Source organism: Homo sapiens, chromosome 4 (assembly GCF_000001405.40).
Source record: "Homo sapiens chromosome 4, GRCh38.p14 Primary Assembly".
Taxonomy (NCBI): domain Eukaryota; kingdom Metazoa; phylum Chordata; class Mammalia; order Primates; family Hominidae; genus Homo; species Homo sapiens.
Window position 1 is genome coordinate 38,898,218 of NC_000004.12, and position 23,885 is coordinate 38,922,102.

The following is a 23,885-nucleotide window of genomic DNA, read 5'->3' on the forward strand; positions in this document are numbered from 1 at the left end:
TCTTATGCAAGAGTACCTGAGGTTGGGGGTTGGTGTGTACGGAATGTACCTGATATGTATATTTACTTTTTCCAAAATTATCATTGTTCCCCTTACTCATCCTCTCCCAAGGTACATAGTTTTTTCCTTCTGCACATTTTAATGAAACTCTTCTAGCAGCCCGGTCAGAAATGACAGTGTTTATTACAGAGAATGGCAAACTTGTCAAAATGATACTACGATGAGAAATCATCACCGTATAAATCACTGTCGATAGCGCATGGATTCATTTTTGAAGGTGACATTGCTGATGATATGAAATTTCTCAAGGAACATTGAGACAAAGAGAATAGGAATAATGCTTAGAGTTTGTCCATCGTCCTTTAGATTCTATGAATAAAACACAGGGGTTAATGAGTTTCTGTTGGACTTCTGGGCAAATATCATCAGTTCAGTAACACTTCTTGTCTATTTTGAGCCTAAAGGGAAGTAAGCATCTGATTACAGAGTGGACATCAACCATCATATGGAGAGGAAAGACTATTCCAAAGGAAGGTTGATTGGCTCCCTTTTTGCTGCACTATAGTTCGCTTTGGTTGAGCATGGCAGTATCAACTTGTGCTTTTCTGAACAATTGCTCTTCACAACTTTTTATAATATCTTGAACTCATCTATAGAAGAGTCTGAAACACAGTCAGTACTTTATATATATGAGTAATATATATGTTATATATATGTTATATATTTATATGTTATATATTATATATGTAATATATATGTTATATATGTAATATATGTTATATATGTAGTATAAGTTTCATATATATGTTATATATATATATATAGACAGATATATCTATCTCCATTCAGTGGAATACTATGCAGCCATTAAAAAGACCAAGGTAGATCAGTTTTCTAGGTTGGATGCCCAGCAGAGGGATGAGTCAGAAATTGTGTGCTGGAGTTTTACTGTGAAGTGCTTTCTGGAACAAGCTTTGCAAGAGAGCAAAGGATTGGGAAGCAAAACTAAGCCAAGGGAGAAGCTGAACTGCAGTGTCGTTACAGCAGAGGTCTTAACCTATCCCATTGGGAGCTTGGGGTTTGGGATGACTCTTAGGAGATGTCTTCCATTAATCCACAGCACCGGGCCTTTATATCAACAGCTCCCTCATTGACCAGTCACTATAGTATAGTCTTGGTGGAACCAACTCCCTTTGGTCAAGGGCAATTCAAAGGGAGGCATTTATTTAGTTGAGCGCTGTCAGTAGACAACACTCCCAGAATCAAGGAGAATGAGCACTGTGATTCCAGGCAGCACATAGCACACAGCACTATCTGTGTGTGCTGAGACTTCAACTGTGAACTGCCAAATGGGAAAAGCCAGGTCCAGAAGACTTATATTTAGGTAAATATGCTTTTATATTCTTGAAAGGAATCACAAGAAATAATTAGAACTGTTATCTTTAGAAGGAAGTCTTTCAAAAGCTCCAAGCATTGCTTTTTTTAGAAGTCACTCCTATATCAGAGCAAATACATTAGAATGTACCCACATTTTTCATTAAATTTCCTACACACACACACATATGTAACTATGTAGGAGTTGAATTTCTTTGAATGATAATAGACCAGCTGATCCAATATTACATTTTGAATACATTTAAGTAAATATTAATTACTATCTAATTTGCAATTTTTTTTTCTTTTAAAGCCATCAGTTTTTGCAGGCCTTACTTATTTCCACAGGACCTTATAAGCTCATACACTCTATTGCTTATTACGTTACTGGAATCTATCTAAGCAGAAAGAGGCTGGCCCACCTTCTGTTATCTATGTTTCTATACTCTTTGGACTTGCTAATATTATGAAATTTTTATTTTTTAAATCTGCACATGAAAACATGCTCAACACCACTAATCATTAGGGAAATGCTAATCAAAACTATGATGAGATAATACCTCACACCCATTAGAATGACGTTTTGAAAATTTTTTTACCACTAATATTTCAGTATAAGAATGACGATTATTTTAAAAAAAAAAAACAGAAAATAAGCGTTGGTGAGGATGCGGAGAAACTGGAACCCTTGTGTGCTCTTGGTGGGGTTATAAAATGGTACAGCTGCTGTGGAAGACAGTACAACAGTTCCTCAAAAAACTAAAAACAGAATTACCATATGATCCACCAATTCCACTTCTGATTATATTTCCAAAAGAATTAAAGGCAGGGTCCCAGGGAGATATTTGTACACCCATGATCATAGCAGCATTATTCACAATAGCTAAAACACAGAAGCAACCACAGTGTCTGTCGACAGACGAATGGAAAAGCAAAATGTGGTCTTTACATACAAGGGAATATTATTCAGATTTTAAAAAGAAGGAAATTCTGACATATGTTACAACATGGATGAACCTTGAGGACATTATGCTAAGTGAAATGAGCCAGTCACAAAAAGACAAATACCGTGTGATTCCACTTCTGTGGGGCACTTAGAAATAGTCAAAATCATAGAGATTTGAGAACGTTCTGACTACTGGAATGTAGAATGATGGTTGCCAGGGGCTGGTAAAAGAGGAGAGTGGGGAGTTATTGTTTAAATGGGTATAGAGTTTCTATTTTATACAAGGGAAAAAGTTCTGGAGATGGATGGTGGTGATGGTTGCATAATATTGTGAAGGTATTTGGTATCTCTGAACTATTCAGGTAGGAAAAGTTAAGGTGGTAAAATGCATGTCATGTGCATTTTACCACAAAAAAAAAATGGAGTAAAAATTCAACCAGATATATCAGAGATATGATATTATGGGATTTTTAAAAGTCTCTTTTTAATACATTCATTTTTTGAAAAAGAAGGAAAAAGAGAAAGTTAAAATAAGAAAAAGAAGGAAATATTGTCTTAAAAAATAAAACAAGCTAAAAGGGAGAAACTTTCCTGATGAGTTAGCGTGGGCCCTTCTCGTGATCCTTTAGCATATGGGACCAATAGGAAGTAGCCATTGAGCTATCCAGTCATCCAGGGTGCTGCAGAGAACTGCTGTTGCTTCCCTGAGTTACCACTTGGTCAGAGAGAACTTCCCAGCATATTCTCTTGTTTTTTTTTTGAGCTGGAGTCCTAGTCTGGCTCTGTCGTCACCCAGGCTGGAGTGCGATGGTGCAAACTCAGCTCGCTGCACCCATGCCTCCTGGGTTCAAGCGATTCTCCTGCCTCAGCCTCCCAAGTAGCTGGGATTACAGGCGCCTGCCGCCACACCCGGCAAATTTTGTATTGTATTTTTGGTAGAGGTGGGGTTTCACCATGTTGGCCAGGATGGTCTCGAACTCCTGATCTCAGGTGATCCGCCTACCTCGGCCTCCCAAAGTGCTGGGATTACAGGCATGAGCCACCATGCCCGGTCCATCATATTCTTTTTGCAAATTATTTCATCTTGATTATTTCAAATAGCCAGCAGTTATTTCATCTTTCCAGAAAGAGGAGAGACTTCCCTTCAATGGCTTTTTGATCCTGGTGGAATTCACAAGAAGAGAGCTTCATAAGATCACAGTGCTTTGCGGGAAGAAAAAGATCAAAGTGGATGTGTAAGATAGCCCTACACAGTGTCTTGAGAATACAGCCTGCACAGCACAGGGATGATCCTAAAAACACTAAGCTATGCCATCACTAGACACAGTTGACAGGGAGAGGGTTAGTGTCAGGTTTCACCCTGGAGGTGATCTTCACCTTGTTCTTTGGTCAAGGTAAGGTAAGTCAAGTGCATTTTAGAATAAAACAATGTTTTAAAAAGTAGGAAGCTCCAAACCAAGGATCTGATTTCCAAGGAGTTACAGAAATGGGATTAAAATGACATTTAATCAACTATAAATGACACATAAAACTTTCTTAACATAACATAGTGATTACACATGTGGGTTCTAGAGTCAGAAGGACTGAGTTGGAATCCTGCCTTTGTCACTGATTGGCTTTAGGACCTTGGGAAAGTGATTTCACCTCACCAGGTCTCAGTTTTCTCAGTTGTGAAATGAGTATACTAATATCCCTTACCTCATAAGATCATTGAGAAGATTAAATGAGATAATGTACTGTACTAAAAGTATTTAGTACAGTGTTAGGACATAGTAAGTGCTCAATAAATGTCGGCCATAGCAGAGATTTCACATGTTTCTTCTCAATAATCTCGCAAAACTCTGAGAGGTAATCCTCCTTTCAGAGAATGCACAGCCGCAGAGACTCAGAGAGGTTAAGCAGCTCACCAGCATTACACAGCTCATAAATGATGGGAGCAGAAATCCTCCACAAGACTCCTGACTCCTAAGTTTAAGGTATTTTCCATTTGAGTATAGATGGTAAATTAAATACCAGCCAATCATTCAGCATTTATTTTAAAATGATACATTATCGAAGCATTTGTACGACATTCTCATCTTCTTTGCAGCACTCACCTTCTATTGCAGTGAGCCAAAGAGTAGAGGATATTCCATCTTTAGAACCATGGAGTTTAGAGGGGTTTCAGATTTTGGGGATACTTGGGGTTTGGGATGACACATGAAGAAATTAATCCATGAACTGTACCCTATAGTATTATTCATATTTGTTGTTTTTCTCTTATTAGTAGGTCCCAGTCAGTACCTCTGGAGATGAAATCACTCCCAATCAAAAGGCAACAGTGACTTCATATTATTATTTTCTTGTTCTGGACACTAGATGTCACACTAAGTAAAGTTTTAGAGGTTACTCTTTAGAGTAAGGTGTGGCACAGTGTCTAAAATCTTAGCTATGAAAAATTATAGCTCATACATAAATATAAAGCTGAACTTTATATTTATTTTTTGTTTCTTTTTTTTTGTAAAGCTGAACTTTATATTTCTGGTAGAATGCAGTAAAAGGGTACTTTCCCTAACAAAAAATTCAGAAAAAGAATTGTTAATAAGAAAATGTAGTTGGAACAGCAGCCTATTTTGATGTCTGTTAAATAGATAGATCCCATTTACATGCACATAAAATCGTATTTCCTTCTAGTAACAAAGTGATTTTTCTAGAGGCAGCTCGTGTATACATATCTGTGATCGTTTATGTTCTGAGATGGCGAGAAGCCATTCTTCCTGCAAAAGGAACCAGACATTATCCTAACCTGCAAGGGACGGAGAAGGTGAAAGAAGAGATACTGAATATGAGTTTCATTATCTCCTGAAACAGTCTCAGGGAAGGATGTGTGATCATCTTTCTTGAGTGGCTTAAGCAAAGAAGACAGAGAAGATGGTGCCTCCCAGCCTCCTTGACCTCATTTTTTTCCTTGATTTTGGCTCTCAGAAATCTAGACGAGAATCATAGGTTGAGATTTGGAGGCACATTATTTCCTTTTGGAAAATGCATATATATATATTTAATGGCAGGGAAGTTGGACTCAGTATGTAAAAGAGTAAGATATTCTATCCTCTAACTTAAATGTGTTATTGAAACTTCAATAAGTTTCCATTGAAATGCTTGAAATTCATTGGACGCTAGAGATAATTAATTCAAGCCTTAACAGTCGCAATACACCTTTATTTTTTCAAGTAACTCAGTAATTAATTTGAACTGTGTCTAATGATCTGCACATGACTATAAACACGTATTTCTATATGTGATTACAGTTGTAAATAATGTTTACATTTCAGGGTTTTCTAGGTAGTGTATAAGGACAGGTGATTTCCATTGGACATAATTCCTTCTACATTTGTCAAATATCAGTGCCTTGTTAATGCTAAGATCACTAGGATAAATAAGGTTACAACTGCTAAAATGCTACTCTTTAGGTTTGGGAGTCATCCATGTGTTCCCCTTTCTTATTCAGGAAATGGGCAATTGGTTATTTTAACAGTGCCTTCTAAGACTAGGTGGTTCTAGTTAGCTCTCAAATTCTGTTGGGACTTGGGACGTTTTTCCTCATATTACTGCCTTGTGTTTTAGCAACCTGAGGTCACCCAGGTCCCGAGAGAAATCTTTCATTTTCTCCGTGAGTGCTCGGGGGATGGGGAGTTCTGTGATGATGGCAGCCTGTGCTGTTTCTCCTTCAAGAAGTCAGACAGCCACTTTGGACCATCCGTAGGCTATTCATTCCTTCAACAGTTTGACAACTCAGAAAAGCTATAGCTCATCGTGAAGGCCTCAAAGGGAGGAAAATCTCTCCAGAATAAAATGTAGACAAGACTATGTCCGTATCAGGTCAAAGGTTGGGGTTTTTCCCTGTGGGTAGGAAGGTCAGCTCTGTATTTACCAAATAGTTATTGAATAACCGCTCTGCCTGGCTCAGGGAACAAGGGTATTATCCCTGCTTAGATGGAGTAAAACCTGTGCTCTTCGCCTGCCTGACTGCTGTTAAGGTTGATTTATATCATTATTAAGACAACTGTCGGGGCTGTTGGGTGGCCTTCCTGGTTTCTCCACTGACTTGCCTTTTGATTTTTGGATGTCAGCTCCAGGACCTTCACTCTCCATGCCTAAAGGAAGGCCTAATGCTTTAAAGAAACATTCTGAGGCTCAGGTGATTTCAATCCAACCAATATTAATTGATCATCTGCAATGTGCTAAGCCTGCAAGGAATCAAAAAAATGAATGAAGAATATCTTCCATAAGGAGCTTACAAAAGAGTAAAGAGGATGAGACAGGTACACTATACAAAGACTGTGTTGAGCTTAGAATTCCAGGTTGATAGCTAGGTGGTGTGAGAAGCAAAAGCAAACAGTGAAGCATCCGGGAGCACTTTACCTACGTGTATCTCATTTGCACGTCACAATAACTCAATGAGGAAACTGAGTCACAGAGAGGCTAGGTAACTTCTCCAAGGTCATTCAACCAGGCAGGGGTGAAACTGAGCTCATATTGGAACCCACATCTCAGGGAGCAGGGATTCCTCTTTCTTTCAATCAGGATGTACTTCTACAGGCCAGGTGCGATGGCTCACACCTGTAATCCCAGCACTTTGGGAGGCAGAGGTGAGCCAATCACCTGAGGTCAGGAGTTCAAGACAAGCCTGGCCAACACTTAGTGAAACCTAGTCTCCACTAAAGGCACAAAAATTAGCCGGGCGTGGTGGTGTGCATCTGTAATCCCAGCTGCTAGGGAGGCTGAGGCAGGAGAATCACTTGAACTCGGGAGGCGGAGGTTGCAGTGAGCCAAGATTGCACCACTGCACTCCAGCCTGGGTGACAGAGCAAGACTCCATCTTTTAAAAAAAAAAAAAAAGAAAGATGTACTTCTGCAACTTGAAACAGCTTTGTAAGATTTGGTGGAGGATTTGCAGACCGTGGATTTCTAATGTATCCATGAACCATATTTTTATTTCCAACAGGTCATGGATTGACGGCAGTCAAGGAAAAAGCAGGAGCCACTCTACGGATTCATGGTGTAAATTCTGGATCTTCTGAAGGAGCCCAACCAAATACTGAAAACGGAGTCCCTGAAAGTGAGTGATGTGTCTCCTCTGGGTGTTCTTGGACTTTATTACACCATGTGCATAATCAGAGGTTTTCCAAGTTCAGATCAGCGACGTGAACTCTTAAAGGATTTCTTTTTTCTCTTTAGTAACAGATGCAGCCACAGATCAGGGCCCTGCAGAAAGCCCACCCACTTCCCCTTCATCAGCCTCTCGGGGTATGCTGTCTGCCATCACCAATGTGGTTCAAAACACAGTGAGTCGCTGGCTGCTTCCTCTCTTTCCCCTGTATTTCCCAGGGCCTTCTTTTGATATTTCCATTTACCAGTGACCTAGATACATCAGAGAAACGATGGCCTTGCTCAGAACTTTGGATTATGGTTTTTTTTTTAATGTTTTCTGCTACAAAGTAGACGTAACCTTGGATTCAAAATAATAAGGGCAAAATGAAATATATTTTATGTTTAAAAGAAGGGAGCTGTTTGGAAGGAACATTTTTCAGTCTGATTTAACAGTGTCCTTTCCAGCTGCGGCAAGGACAGCCTCTGGTTGAGGGGAGAGAGAACTCTTTATCAGAGCTGGGACAGCTGTTTTTCCTAAATGCTCTGCTTATCTTATCCCTGAGTTTGAAAAAGCATTAAACCGTTTAAATAAAAAGTACCCGTTACAAGACAGGAAAAACAGCCCAAATATGTTTCTGAAGTGTTTCCAGAGACCAGCGTTCTTCCCCCATCCCTACCTCTTCATTCCCACCCTTCCTCCTCCTTACACCACCCTAAGTGTATCCCCCTAGATCCCTGCCTACCTCTTAGAAGAAGCTCCATATTAGCAGCAAAACATTGGTGAATAATGAAAAAAGGGGAGGCACCTCAACTGAGATAAGGCAGGTAGCTGGTCATCAGGGTCAGGGAGCAAAGATTTATTTTGTTTTTTCTTTTGTTTTTTTGAGATGGAGTCTCACTCTTGTCACCTAGGCTGGCGTGCAGTGGTGCAATCTCGGCTCACTGCAACCTCCGCATCCCTGATTCAAGTGATTCTCCCACCTCAGCCTCCCAAGTAGCTGGGATTACAGGTGCCCACCACCACACCCAGCTAATTTTTGTGTTTTTAGTAGAGATGGGGTTTCACCACGTTGGCCAGGCTTGTCTTGAACTCTTGACCTCAGGTGATCCTCCTGCCTCGGCCTCCCAAAGTGCTGAGATTACAGGTGTGAAGGTGTATTTCTTACTATGTAAACTAACTAGTTTTTCTAAAAATATGGCTCGTGTCTCATTTAGTCATTCATTCATTCATTCATTCATTAAAAGAAAAACAACAACACAAACATGATTAGCCCTCACTATGTTCCAGTATCTATGCTAGATCTTGGATATATGCTGGCAAACAAGAGGGCACAATATCCCAGAGGACTGAGGCGACTGAACAAATAAACACAATGTAATTCGGGAAGAGGTGAGGGCTGCGGTCAAACATGAGAGGATCTCACCCAGACCTTGGGGTCAGGACATGCCAGAAATATAGAAAATGACTGGTCTTCTCCTTGCTATTTGAGGACCTCTAGACTGGGGTGGGGGAAGTAAGGAGGAGCAGCAAATCTGTCTTAGGAGTCAAGTAGCAATACAAGTCAACCACCCCCGTGGGGGGTTTGTAGGATGGGAGATGGATGGAGCTCTGTCAGTACCTCTGGTATAAGAAATGAATTCACGGCCTATCTGAGCTACCAAGAGGGCACTATGAGTTTGTCTTCAGCAGCCTCACATTCCTTTCTGTGTTCTCTCCAACCTTCTTGACCCCTTTTTCCCAAGTTCCAGACACTACCCCTCCAAGTCTATCCTTAACACAAATCCCTGTGTCCTTTCTTCCACCATTTTATTCTCAATAAAATAATTTTTCATAGGATGTTAGCAGGCACTAAGTCAAATTACACAGAAGTGTGAATTGCTGCTGTCCCATCATCCCCCCGAAGTGTGCGCACTGAAAACTGATTTACAGCATGATTACTGGTTGGCTCCCAAATCTAAAAACAAAGTCTAAATACCCAAGATGAAAATAAAGTATATTAATTCTATGAAATTAAATACTTCTATTTAAATGATAATTATGAAGATTGGAAAATGCATATCAGTAATAATATCATAATAAAATACAATTTATATCATTTTTATATATGGTGGGGAAAAACACAGATGTATGCATATTATAATTGCAGTTATACAGTTGGAGTGTAAGTATGAAAGAGTTGCAAAGACATGTATGCAGTTCTGTTCACTTGAATAGTTTATGTGTGAGTAAGTCTGGGTTATTTTAATTTTTTAAAAAAAGCAACAATGACTGACAAAGGGATTTGCAGGAGGATAGCTATATAATACACCAGTTTCTAAAGCCAGAAGTACAAGGAAATCAACCTGTCTCATTTCATGGATATACTAATTATAGGCAGTTATTGCTAGTTTCTGAGAGTATGCAAGAACCATCTGAAACAGCCTGAGGGTCTTACCCTCCAGGGCCCTAGATTAAAGAATTCCCTAAATTAGCAGGACTGTTTGACATTTTAATAGACTGCTCCAAGCAACTCTGTTACTTGGGTTAAAAAAATTTTTAAACAGAAACAGCAATTTATTTTATGTTAATTTTATGTCTTAGCAATTTATTTTATGTTAATTTTATGTCTTAGATACACATCCATTCATACACAGAGAGCCAGTAAAATTAATCCCTTTGTGGGATTAATTTTATTTTATGTGCTTTGGTTTTTTTCTAAGCATCAGTCTTTAATAACATTGTATGTCCTACAAATTATATAACATATGCTTTTCCAAGGAAACGAGAATAGGATTAAATGGATGATAAATCTCCTGATGAGAAAAAATTGTGACTTTATATTGATTTTAATATTTGAAGATAGTGCCAGTTACCTAGGAGTTGCTGACTGCTGCGAAACAGCAAAACCTAAACATCTAATCTCATGCAGTTATCTCATCTGCAGGGTAAAAGTGTCTTAACTGGAGGCCTTGATGCGTTGGAATTCATCGGCAAGAAAACCATGAATGTCCTTGCAGAAAGTGACCCGGGCTTTAAGCGGACCAAGACGCTCATGGAGAGAACTGTTTCCTTGTCTCAGGTTGGATTATATACGTTTGCAATTTTTTCTTTCAGTCAATAAAGTAAATAAATTTTTTATTTATCTTTTTGAATAGCTCATTTAAAGCATGTGATTCAAATCAAATGACACCAAAGAGCAGAGAGAGAAAACTGAGCTTCTAATACCCCCATTTCCCCAGTCACTTAATTCCTCAGAGGAGACAACCAGTTAACAGTTCCTTAAGGATTCTATCAGAGACCGCAGAGAGATATGGATATAGATCTATAGATGCAGCTATACATAAATATACAGATGTAAAAGTACATATGTATGCATGTGGATAGACATGCACATAAATACACACATATTTTTTCAACCCAGTGGTAACATACTAAACACACTCTTGTTCCTTGCTTAATTCACTTAATATTATTTCTTGAAGATGATCCATTTATGTCATGGTATGCATCCCATCTCTACCACTTAGTAGCTGAGTGACCTTGGGCAAGTTACTTAGCCCCTCTGTGCCTCAGCTTACTCATCTGTACACTGGGGATAATTTAAATACCTACCAATAACTTTGTTGTGAGGATACGCTGAGTTAGAATAGAACCCAGCTCTTAGTAAGCATTCAGAAATGTTAGTTGTTGTCATTGCCGTTATTATGTGTCGGTATAATAGGTGGAAATGGTATCTCATTGGAATTTTAAATTCTGTTTCTCTTGATATGTGCAAGGATGGTCTTCTCCTCTCACACTTCCAGCACTAAAGTTTTCCAGCCCTTCTTGCAAAACATAAAACAAAGAATTCAATCTGTCTTTGCTTACTTACAATAGTTAAGAAAATTGGAAATAATATTAGTCTTGTTTTCCAAATATGACTCTAATATTAAACTTACTTTTCCAGATGGAACATGCCTAGCTTACCCCACAATCCAGGCATGCCCCAGTCCACCTCCTCCACGAGAGACTGATACACCAGGTCTCTGTGCTTTCCTGAAATCAGAAGCAGCTGATGCAGCAGTGGATTTTGTAAACGTCACAGGCAGGACTTGGTACTAGGAACCCATGAAGGTTGCCTTCATGAACAGCTATCACTGAGAATATGTTCATGGCAACCCCTAGAAGCTTTTGTTTTAGGCTATTTCTTCTTGTCTCTTCTGGAATAACCCAAGTATGAGCACTCCGATGTTATAGTCCAGGGAGGGACTTTGCAGGATCATCTAGACCATCACCCTGCTGCTCCTTGAAAAAGAAAATAGATGGCTGGGCACAGTGGCTCATGCCGGTAATCCCAGCACTTTGAGAGGCCGAGGCGGGCAGATCACCTGAGGTCAGGAGTTCGAGACCAGCCTGGCCAAGATGGTGAAACCCTGTCTTTACTAAAAATACAAAAAAAAAAATTAGCCGGATGTGGTGGCGAGCACCTGTAATCCCAGCTACTCGGGAGGCTGAGGCAGGGGAATTGCTTGAACCAGGGAGGTGGTGATTACAGTGAGCCGAGATTGTGCCACTGCACTCTAGCCTGGGCAATAAAGCAGGACTGCATCTCAAAAAAAAAAAAGAAGAGAAAGGAAAATAGATTAGTATTAGTTAGGTAATTAGCACTAGATGTCATGAAAGAACAACCACCCCTAAGTATCAGTGTGGCTTAGAACAAAAAGGTTTACCTTTCGCTCTCACAAAGTGCAGCATGAATATTCCTGCTCACACAGGAGCTCGTCCCAGGGGGCTCTCATGGCTAGCACACTTCTGAGCCCACATCTTCTGGCCTCATCATCTTGAAATGCCTTACTTCCAGCCTCACAGAGAGGGGATGTGGAAGGCAATATCTGGTATTTCAGAAAGTGACGAGCGAGTGCCATGGGGAAAAAGACAAAGTAGAACAGGAAGAGGTGATGAGGAATCAGAAATGTGGGTGTGAGGGGCAGGCTGAGTGTTAAGTAGGATAGTGAGGGGGCCTTGGGCAGATGATGACATGTGAGCAAATCCTTGAAGGAGATGAGAGCATTGGCCATGCAGGAACCTGAGTAAAGCTCATTCCAGGCCAAGGGAGAACTCACGCAAAGGCCCTGAGTCAGGAGTGTCTGGCATGAACACAGAACAGCAGGATGCCCGTGATGGAGAGGAGTGGGCTCCGGGCGAGAGCTGTTGAGGAGGACATCAGAGTGGTGATAGGGAGTAGGTGATAGCAGATCATGGCAGACATTCGTAAGGACCTTGGGTTTGACTGTTAGTGAAATGGGGAAACCATTGCAGCATTTTGAGAAAAGAAGTGACAGAATCTGATTTGTGCTTTAACAGGACCACTCTGGTTCCTGGGTAGAAAATTGGCTGGGAGGACCAAGGGCAGGGAGACTGGTTAGAGTGACTATCAGTCTGTGCCCTCCCAGAAACAGACACCAAGATGGGCTTAAACATGCAAGGATTTCATTAGGGGAAGTGCTTGTGTGAGAGAAAATGGGGAGGGAGCCCAGGAAGGCTGGGAGAACCATTAGACCAGGATGCCGGTCCCACCCCAGTGAAGAGAAGAGGGTGAGAAAAATGGGTGAAAGTGTCCCAGACTGCAGTGCGGCATGGGAAAGGCTGGGCGAAGCCATGGGAAAGCCCTTCAGCCAAAGGCTGCTGACAAAGGAGACCTCATCTTCCAGGAACAGGTCTGCCTTAGTGCCCTGCTGCACCAGTGATTGACAGGGAAGAGCTGTGGGAGGCTGAAGGCTGGATTTCGAAGTCCAGCATTTATGCTCCCAGGAGTAGGAGGGAGGTCTGCAGGTTGCACTGTCACACCCTCCACTGGAGGCAATTGCACTTTCAATTGCTGTTATCTAAACAAGAGATAATGGTGGCCCTGTGCAGCATGGAGGCCTTGTAGGTAGTGAGGAATGGCTGATTCTGGCTATAATTTGAAGATAGATCCAGATCGCTTGTTGGAATGAATGTGAGCTGTGAGATAAAAGCAGTTGTCAGGGATGGCTCCAAGGTCTTTCGGACAACTGGAAGGATGAAGCTCACATATTTTTCCTTTACACACTAAAGAAATATATAACTATGGAAACTAGAAGCGTGCACGCGTGCACTACCTACATTTCTCACGTATTTTTATCCTAGTGGCACAGGGAATACTCTTTCTTTTTCTTTCTTTCTTCTTTTTTTTTTTCTTTTTTTTTCTTTTTTCTTTTTTTTTTTTTTTTTGAGACAGAGCCCTCACTCTGTCGCCCAGGATGGAGTGCAGTGGCGCGATCTTGACTCACTGCAACCTCCGCCTCCTGGGTTCAAGCAATTCCCCTGCCTCAGCCTCCTGAGTAGCTGGGATTACAGTGTGCACCACCACGCCCGGCTAATTTTTGTATTTTTAGTAGAGACGGGGTTTCACCATGTTGGCCAGGCTGGTCCCGAACTCCTGACCTCAAGTGATCCACCCTATTTGGCCTTGAAAAGTGCTGAGAGTACAGGCATGAGCCACCGCACCCAGCCAAGCGCAGGGAATACTCTTTAAATAACACGGGGACAGGGGGTCCTTGGATTCCACACATGGAAGTCTCCATAGCTTCTCTGTGTCAGGAATTCTTCCAGGCCAGGATCATTCCCTGCTATTGAAACCCACTTCCCTTTCTTCTCTAGTGGGAAAATAGAACCAGCCTCCGTTGTCAAGCTGGTTATCCCTCAGGCAGCTTTAATTTCACTCCCCAGTTGTGTTTTGTTTGTTTGTTTGTTTTGAGATGGAGTCTCACTCTGTCACCCAGGCTGGAGTGCAATGGCGCAATCTTGGCTCACTGCAACCTCCTCCTCTTGGCTTCAAGTGATTCTCCTGCCTCCCTCCTGAATAGCTGGGATTACAGGTGCCCGCCACCATGCCCAGCTAATTTTTTGAATTTTTAGTAGAGACAGGGTTTCATCATATTGGCCAGGCTGGTCTTGAACTCCTGACCTAGTGATCGGCCCACCTTGGCCTCCCAAAGTGCTGGGATTACAGGCGTGAGCCACCGCGCCTGGCCTACTCCCCAGTTTTGAGTGAGTCCACATCTTTCCAGAGTGACCCTTTCCCTTTCTCTTCAATTTCATCCCTTCTTTTTTCTCTCCCGAAGCCCACATTCGGAGGTGGAAGCTGGTGTAGAGAAAGGAAGTGATTTCAGTGTCACTTTGTTATTTTATTTTACCACCACCAAGTCCTGAGATCAGTGCGGGTAATTAGTTTTTATTGCCAGTGTTAAAATTTTCCAGTGATGGTTTCATTGGGTTGTTTGAAAAACTTTAAGATTCAGAGTCTGTGCTAATTTAGTCTTAAAGACAGACAGGAGAGAGAATTCTCTTTGCGGCCCTGTGGGTTCTTGGCAGATAACCTCGAGAACCCAGAAGGAAATAAGGCTGATTGTTTTTCTGGCACACAATAAAAACCAAAGTCTATTCTTCAGTTGTCTTCCCCTGTGACCTTGTGGTGGTGGCCAGTGTCTTTACAGTGCTTTCCACAGAAATTAAAGAACCCCATACACGTAATGCCTCAGTAAACTTAATGAGGAATCACATAAAAGATGCTTAGAATCAAAAACGCAAGTGCAGAAAATTGAGAGTGACTGATGGACTTGTGTTTATTTGTTGTCTTTTTGCTTAACCAACAAAAAATAACTGGAGAAAAGTTATTAATGGGGAGAGGAAACTTGGTTCACAGTCATATTTCTGGAAACCAGACTTAAGAATCTATAAGCTAATGTTCTTTTTTGTTTTTTTGTTTTGAGACCAAGTCTCACTCTGTTGCCCAGGCTGGAGTGCAACGGCGCAGTCTCGGCTCACTGCGCCTCCGGGTTCAACCTCCGCCTCTCCTGCCTCAGCCTCCTGAGTAGCTGGGATTACAGGCATGCACCACCATGCCCGGCTAATTTTTGTATTTTTAGTAGATACGTGGTTCCACCATGCCAGGCTGGTCTCGAACTCCTGACCTCAAGTGATCTGCCCATCTCAGCCTCCCGAAGTACTAGAATTACAGGTGTGAGCCACCGTGCCTGGCCCTAAGTTAATATTCTTAATTGCAGTAAGTATATGATGACAAATACATTATGAGATTATGTTTATTAATTTTTAAATTGAGGAAATTTAATAACCACGTACACAAAATTTTTAAAATATTAAAACTCGGCCAGGTGCAGTGGCTCACGCCTGTGATCCCAGCGCTTTTGGAGGCCAAGCTGGGTAGATCACCTGAGGTCAGGAGTTCGAGACCAGCCTGGCCAACATGGTGAAACCCCATCTCTACTAAAAATACAAAAAAATTAGCTGGCTGTGGTGGCGGGTGCCTGTAATCCCAGCTACTCGGGAGGCTGAGGCAGGAGAATCACTTGAACCTGGGATGGGGAGGTTGCAATGAGCTGAGATCGTACCCTTGCACTCCAGCCTGGGCAACAAGAGCTAAACTCCATCTCAAAAAAATAAAATAAAATAAAAAATTATAACTTAGAAAAAATCAGGCCAGCTTATTTCTGCTTTGACGTCTGTGTAGGTGCAGGACTTAAAGTTAATCCTGTCATAAGAGATTCAACTTTTCAAGCATACATAAAACTCGCTCATTATAGAAAATTTGGGGACTTTAGAAAATAAGAAATTTGGCCGGGTGCAGTGGCTCACACCTGCAATCCCAGCATGTTGAGAGGCTGAGGGAGGAGGATCACTTGAGGTCAGGAGTTTGAGACCAGTCTGGGCAACATGGTGAAACCCTGTCTCTACCAAAAAATACAAAAATTAGCTGGGCATGGTGGCAAGGGTCTGTAGTCCCAGCTCCTCAGGAGGCTGAGGCAGGAGAATCGCTTGAACCCGTGGGGCGGAGGTTGCAGGGAGCCGAGACTGTGCCACTGCACTCCAGCCTGAGCAACAGAGTGAGACTCCATCTCAAAATAAATAAATAAAATAATAAGAAAATAAGAAAGTTAATCACTCATGTGGGAAACGCCTCAGTGGAAACCACTGTTAAAGCTTTTGGTGTGTTTCTTAACAGTTTATTCCCAGGCATTGAATTTTTGCTTTGTTTTGCCTTTCACATAATGAACATGTAAAATGTGAAGTAGGATATGATGTAAAAGTTATCAATAGGATCAATCAAAAAAATCATTTTTTAGAAATTCTAAAGTGACCAGAATCTCCCCCTCTCCAACACAAAATCAGTCCTCCCAACCTCCCCCATGTCTTACACAGGAAACGGTGCTTTTAAATGTACATCCAGAGTACAAACATTGTGTATTTCTGCAGATGTTAAGGGAAGCTAAGGAGAAGGAGAAGCAGAGACTGGCACAGCAGCTCACGATGGAGAGAACCGCGCACTACGGGATGCTGTTTGATGAATATCAAGGCTTGTCACACCTGGAAGCCCTGGAAATTCTGTCCAATGAAAGCGAAAGCAAGGTACTTCTGCACTACTCGTTTGAAATGGCATGCTTAGTCATGTGTTGCTTAAACATGAAAGAAACTGGAAAATCTGCCATTAAAAGATCTCATTTTTAGAGCCTCATTATTATTGTGCTGAGGTCAGAAATACTGTACAATGGGATGACCCTCGAGCTCCATATCATCTCTTCTCTGTCCTATGCTAAGCTATTACCCCACCCCAGCTCCAAAAAGGCCTGCACAGTAAGAGCCACCACTATCCCCCCACCTCATGGTGCAAAAGGCTGCTCAGAAATGTGGCTGTCCAGCTGCTGGCCCTCTGCCTCCCTTTGGTAACGAAGTACCCAGGTCAGAGATGCCCTGCCAGCCCACATCTTCATTCCTACCCAATGCAAACAAAGCACTTGATGTTCCTTTTAGACTTCAGGGTTTTAATATATTTTGTCTTATGGGTTATATAGTTATTTATTCAGCCATCTTGTTAGGACTCCTGGGCCACAAAGGGCAGGATTATCTTACTGAAGGTTAAGGTTCTATTAGGGAATGCTCCCGTACACACACCTGGGAAACCCAGCCTACCCAATGGCCCTGCACATTCATACTCCTCCACTTGGTCCCAGGAAAACAAAAGATGAATAGCAAAAGTCAGCAGGGTTTGGTGATTTTTTTCCCTTAAAGCATCTATAGTGGTGTGTGTGTGTGTGTGTGTGTGTGTGTGTGTGTGTGTGTGTGTGTGTGTTTATTTAGCAAGCACTTAATGGCACTTACATAGCCACTATTCTAAATACCATAAAACTGTTAACTTATTTAACTGTATATATGTGGCTGTTTTGTGGATGTCAGGCTGACTGTGCTCCGGAGTGGTTTTCTAGTGGAGGCCACCAGGCAGTACCCTCTGGGCCTCCAGAGAGGGAGGGGCCGTGGTGACATTCATTGAGGAGAGGCAGGTCCCTAGACAAGAAGCTCAATTTGGCAGTGAGCCTTAGAATGGAGAAGTAGTTTTTGACTCTCCCTAGACCTTATCCTGTTATGTTTGGACTTTGAGCCATTCTTGATGCCTGTCTAATCAGAGAAAGACAACATCTGCCACATAACAGGCAACCAAGAACCAAATAGGATGGAGACATTGTCCCCTGCCCCAGATGATGGAGCTACATGTTACTCTGTTTATTTCCTTCTTTGTTATCCATGAGCCTTCAGGGAAAGTCTTGTGGTTAAAACTGTTCAAGAATAATTTTCAAAAAGGGCAAAATTGGGACTCTCATACAGATACAACATGACCTATGTTAAAGGATTTATTTAGCTCATTAATTAATTCAGGGAACCAAGCAGATGTTATAAATGATTCAAAGGAAAAGCCAAAGAAGCACAAATGTGTGTGGAGTAATATGTATGTGGCTATACACCGTGGAATACTATGCAGCCATAAAAAAGAATGAGTTCATGTCCTTTGCAGGGACATGGATGAAGCTGGAAACCATCATTCTCAGCAAACCAACACAAGAACGGAAAACCAAAACTGCGTGTTCTTACTCATAAGTGAAGTTGAACAATGAGAACATATGGACACAGGGAGGGGAACATCACACACCGAGGCCTGTCGGGGGTAGGGGGCAAGGGGAGGGATAGCATTAGGAGAAATCCCTAATGTAAATGACAGGTTGATGAGTGCAGCAAACCACCATGGCACGTGTATACCTATGTTAACAAACCTTCACGTTCTGCACATGTATCCCAGAACTTAAGTATAATAATTAAAAAATATATGAAGGTGCCAATAGACACAAACCTGCTTTTCCACATAGGGGAGGTTGTCCTCCCACTGCACAGAATTCATTCACATGACTATTGACAACAATGGCTTTGCATTGTTGTCAGCCCTTTACAATTTACAGAGTCATAAAATTGCTCCGATAAATTCAGAATCCAATAGTCCAGTAAGATGTGCTCTAGAAAATGCAGTTCTTAGCCAGGCGCAGTGGCTCATGCCTTAATCCCAGCACTTTGGGAGGCCGAGGTGGGCAGATCACCTGATGTCAGGAGTTCAAGACCAGCCTGGCCAACATGGTGAAGCCCCATCTCTACTAAAAATACAAATAAATAAATAAATAAATAAATAAATAAATAAATAAAAAAGCTGGGCATGGTGGCAGGTGCCTGTAATACCAGCTACTCAGGAGGCTAAGGCAGGAGAATCGCCTGAACCTGGGAGGCAGAGGTTGCAGTAAGCCGAGATCGTGCCACTGCGTTCTGGCCTGGGCGACAGAGCAAGACTCTGTCTCAAAAAAAAAAAGGCAAGGTCTGGAGTCAGACATTATTTAATTAAACACCATGCAGAAGCTGTATGATTTTGGACCCCCTTACCTCAATCTCCTTATCTGTGAAATGGGAATAATAAAATCTACCTCACAGAATTATTAACAGAATTAAATGAGATAATCCATGGAAAGCTAGTAGCAGCATGACTAACACAGAAGTAAGCACTGAATAATGTACACATGTTGATGACAGTTGATTTTTATATGCGTTCTTATGTCATAGACATTTGTTGTTATTAAAAATATCACAGGGGAGCGTGGCCCTGCTGTAAAAAAAACATTACAAGATATCATGGTGGTGGAGAATGATTCCATTGTGGTGACTTCCATCACAGCTCTCAGCTGTGAAACAGCCCCAGGGCCCTGGAAAAGAGCCCCCAAGGACTTAGTTTCTAGGAAGAAGGTTCGGCCTTTGGAGGGGAACAGTTTGCCCATTGCCTCCACAAGCTCTGCTTTCTTTCCCTAGCCTGGAGATTTTTGTGATATTCATAGTAAGGAAAATAAATTTTTGTCTTGACTTAGTAATGATAGTTAATGGGTACTATAATAAACAGTCCTACAGGCCAGGCGCGGTGACTCACGCCTGTAATCCCAACACTTTGGGAAGCTGAGACAGGCGGATCACCTGAGGTCAGGAGTTCGAGATCAGCCTGACCAACATGATGAAACCCCGTCTCTACTAAAAAAAAAAAAATACAAAATTAGCCGGGCATGGTGACGCATGCCTTTAATCCCAGCTATTCGGGAGGCTGAGGCAGGAGAAACACTTGAACCCAGGATGTGGAGGTTGTGGTGAGCCGAGATCGCGCCATTGCACTCCAGCCTGGGCAGCAAGAGCGAAACTCCGTCTCAAAAAACATAATAAATAAATAAACAGTCCTACAAATGTATGGGTCAAAAACAGTAAGAGTTATTCTTCACTCCTGTAATAGTCCAAGATAGGAGTGCCTGGTCAGCAGGCAGCATTCCTGCATTTAGGGCTTCAGGAACCAGACTGTGTCCGTCTTGTGGCTCCGCTAGGCCCGTTCCAAGGTACACAGGCCTCCAGCAAGAAAACAAATGGAGGCTTAGACTGAGGTTGACACACGTAGCGAATAAAAATACGGGATGACTAGTTACATTTTAACTTTAGATGAACAATGAATACTTTTTCAGTATAAATGTGTCCCATGCAATATTTGGGACACATACTTATATGTAGAAAATATTCACTGTTTATCTGAAATTCAAGCTTAGCTAGGCATCCTGTATTTTATCTGGCAACCCTACACATACCAAGTATTTAAAAGTTAAATAATTTTGGGGCCAGGCACGGTGGCTCACACCTGTAATCCCAACACTTTGGGAGGCTGAGGCGGGCAGATCACTTGAGGCCAGGAGTTCGAGACTAGCCTGACCAACATGGCAAAACCCTGTCTCAAATAAAAATACAAAAATTAGAGCCAGGCATGGTGGCACTGCCTATGGTCTAAGGTAGATGTAAAACCGGGTGAGCTGGCTGGGCACAGTGGCTCACGCCTGTAATCCCAGCACTTCAGGAGGCCGAGGCAGGTGGATCACCTGAAGGCCAGGAGTTCAAGACCAGCCAGGCCAACAAGGCAAAACCCCATCTCTACTAAAAATACAAAAATTAGCAGGGTGTGATGGCACATCCCTGTAATCTCAGCTACTCGGGAGGCTGAGGCACGAGAGTCACTTGAACCTGGGGGGCGGAGGTTGTAGTGAGCCGAGATCACACCACTGCACTGCAGCCTAGGTGACAGAATGAGACTCTGTCTCAAAAATAATAAAAATTAAAACGGTAAAGAACTTTAGAAACAAATTGTTAAAGAAAATGTATTCCATCCTCTTAACTTGACAAACATACTTGTATAATGACCTGGAAGGCCAAGTTCCCATTTGAATTCCCAGACTCCTCAAATTTGAATTCCCAGACTCTGCTTCAGCCTGCCTGCCTCCTATCTGCAGCTCTATCTCTCACCCCAGGGAACGTTATGTGGCTGTGGGAGGATGCCCTAGTTCAAGCTCCAGCCATACCCCCTGTAAGCAGCACCTCTTAGCTATCCCGTGGGCTGAGGGATACACAGCCAGTGGCACCATCCCACTGTCAGGAGCACAGCCTAGGGAAGAGTTCCATGCAGGCTGTGAGAGGGACCCTTTGGTGACCTGGAGAGTATTCTAGAATGGAGATGTGGGCTCTGGTGGGACCATTTCTTGGGCCTGGGGACTCCCCTGTGTTGAAGCCTAAAGGCAGTGTTGGATTTCCCTGCCCTCTGAGGGCTTATTGTCTTCTGAGTCACATCAGCATAAGGAGAGAGAGTGTAGAGAGGACACTCCCATGTTTTAAAAGCCTTGCCTAGAAATGATGCACATCATCCCTGCTGACAGTCATGATGCACATCTTCTCTGCTGACAGTCCATTGGCTGAAACTCAGACCCCATCATGGAAATATAAGGAATTACTATCGTTACTATTTTACTAGATTGATTCTAGGATGGCAACAGGCATGGCGATGCGGTGTTTGATAAAGGTTAAAGAGAAACTAATCATTTTCGGCTGGGCGCGATGGCACACCTGTAATCCCAGCACTTTGGGAGGCCAAGGTAGGCAGATCACTTGAGGTCAGGAGTTTGAGACCAGCCTGGCCAACATGGCGAAACCCTGTCTCTACAAAAAATACAAAAATTAGCAGGGAGTGGTGGCGTGTACCTATAGTCCCAGCTACTCAGGAGACAGGCAGGAGAATCGCTTGAACCCGGGAGGCGGAGGTTCCAGTGAGCCAAGATTGCACCACTGCACTCCAGCCTGGGCAGCAGAATGAGACCCGTCTCAAAAAAAAAAAAGAACAGAAAAACTAATCATTTTCATCACCATTATACTCCACAGTTAGGAATAGTAAACAAAAATCTTCACAATGGCAGCACACACCTCCTTTCAAGGAAAAGATTTATAAGACAGCCTCTCTACCCTGTGTCCTGAACAACACTCAGCACTGTGCCAAGCATATAGTCAGCATTCCATAAATACTTATGGAGAAGTGTGTGATTATGTCATATTTATTATTGGATTGAACTAAAGATTCAATGCACATGGCCTTGGCATAATGCAATGAGCTAGGAGAAAGCAGGAGAGATGCTATAGTGGAAAGATGCTGACAAAAGAGTGCTTCGCTAAAGAAAACCCTTCCCAGGGGTGCCCCAAATGGAAAACCCCAATGCTCTCCCTTCCAGATGATTGCCATCCGCCAGAAGACATAGGCAAACACAAATGTTCCACAGGTCTGCATACCTTTTCACTAAGCATGGTATTCAAACACATTTATTCAATAATTAATGTTAGAAAACTGCAGTTTAGAAAATAGATCTGAAGCCTAAGAATACGTTGATGCACATCTGGGACCCTGACCCCTAAACATGAGTGTGCGAGCTGAAATGAAGAGTCTGAGAAGGTCAGGGCAGAACGGAGTGGCGTGCAGCCATGAGTCTGGGCACATTTACTTCCACCTGCTGAACTCCACGCTAATGGGTTTTGTGTTGATGACTTCCTGCAGAGCTTCCTCCCAGAGCCTCAGTGCTGGCTGCATTATGCCCTGGCAATGAGCTTTAGCAACTTTTAGGAAAATGGTGTCCTGGTATCCCAGATGCCCTCTCTACCTCTCTCAGTTATCCCGATGTGCTCATCTATTACCACAATGAATATTAAAACCTATTCCAAAGAGGACTACGGCTCCACCGCTGTCTCTCTCGCCAGAGCAAGAGTTTGACCTGCAGAATGAAAAAATAAAACTTTACTACTTTATACTTATACTTAATATTTTATAAGGTGCCTTCCCTGTGCCCTTTTACCATTTTGGAAATTCAAATCAATCTTCAGAGAATGAGCGGCCATCTGTACAAATAATGTTCTGTTTTTTTTGAAACAGGATCTTGCTGGAGTGCAGTGGCACAATCATAGTTCACTGCAGCCTCAAACTCCTGGGCTCAAGCAGTCCTCTTACCTCAGCCTCTTGAGCAACTGAGACCACAGGCGTGCACCAGCATTCCTGGCTAATTTTCTTAAAATTTTTTATAGAGATGGGGTCTCACTATGTTGATTGCTTGAGCCCTCAAACTCCTGGGCTCAAGTGATCCTCCCGCCTCAGCCTCCCAAAATGCTGGGATTACAGGGGTGAACCACCATGCCTGGCCTGTACAAATAATTGTTAACTGTATACAGAGGATAGTTTCAAAAGAGGGGCTCTAAAGACAGTGAGCAGGGAAGACGTCAGTCCCAGCATCACCTCCTCTGTGAAGCCCTCCCTGTGTGTACCCTCTCAGTTCCCCAAGGGGGAAGGACAGTGCCCTTCCTAGTGCTTCCCTCCACTGTACCCTCCTCTCATGCCTGTCATAGTTGTTCTTGGTTGACACAGCCTCACTCCTTTAGCCTGCAAGATGTTGGAGAAGAAAAATGTGTCTTGTGCATTTTTGTAAACCCAGTGTGATAACTGACATCTAGCAAGTATATATGTGCATCTATAGATGCGTATTTATTTATGTTTATATATGGATGCATGTTTGTTTATTTATTTATTCATTCATTTATTTTTTGAGATGGAGTCTCGCTCTGTCACCAGGTTGGAGTGCAGTGGCGCGATCTCGGCTCACTGCAAACTCCGACTCCCTGGCTCAAGGGATTCTCCTGCCTCAGCCTCCTGAGTAGCTGGGATTACAGGCATGCACCACCACACTC

General features: G+C 42.5%; 1 protein-coding gene across 11 annotated transcripts in view, besides 1 other annotated feature; it reads left to right on the top strand.

The window, feature by feature from the left end:
- The window catches only part of FAM114A1 (family with sequence similarity 114 member A1), a 77,934-nt gene that overhangs the window by 30,412 nt on the left and 23,637 nt on the right, over positions 1–23,885 (top strand). For 8 of the 11 annotated variants that reach the window (NR_033290.2, NM_138389.4, NM_001330764.2 and 5 more), the window contains 4 exons: positions 7,305–7,418; positions 7,538–7,644; positions 10,375–10,509; positions 16,704–16,856. Coding sequence is in view for 10 of the 11 variants with exons in the window: in NM_138389.4 (NP_612398.2) it covers positions 7,305–7,418; positions 7,538–7,644; positions 10,375–10,509; positions 16,704–16,856 (509 nt within the window). In the remaining variant the exon portion in view is untranslated. Of the gene's footprint in view, positions 1–6,004; positions 6,622–7,304; positions 7,419–7,537; positions 7,645–10,374; positions 10,510–16,703; positions 16,857–23,885 lie in introns of those variants that run through there. The other 3 variants (XM_047416412.1, NM_001350632.2, NM_001350634.2) reach the window with 3 other exon arrangements.
- Positions 5,808–5,977: an enhancer, noted in NCBI's record as "experimental_80051 CRE fragment used in MPRA reporter constructs". NCBI's record gives its function as "activates a minimal promoter by MPRAs in K562 erythroleukemia cells, with activity observed for the introgressed 4:38905731 variant allele {active_cell/tissue: K562}" and the evidence as "EXISTENCE:reporter gene assay evidence [ECO:0000049][PMID:34662402]".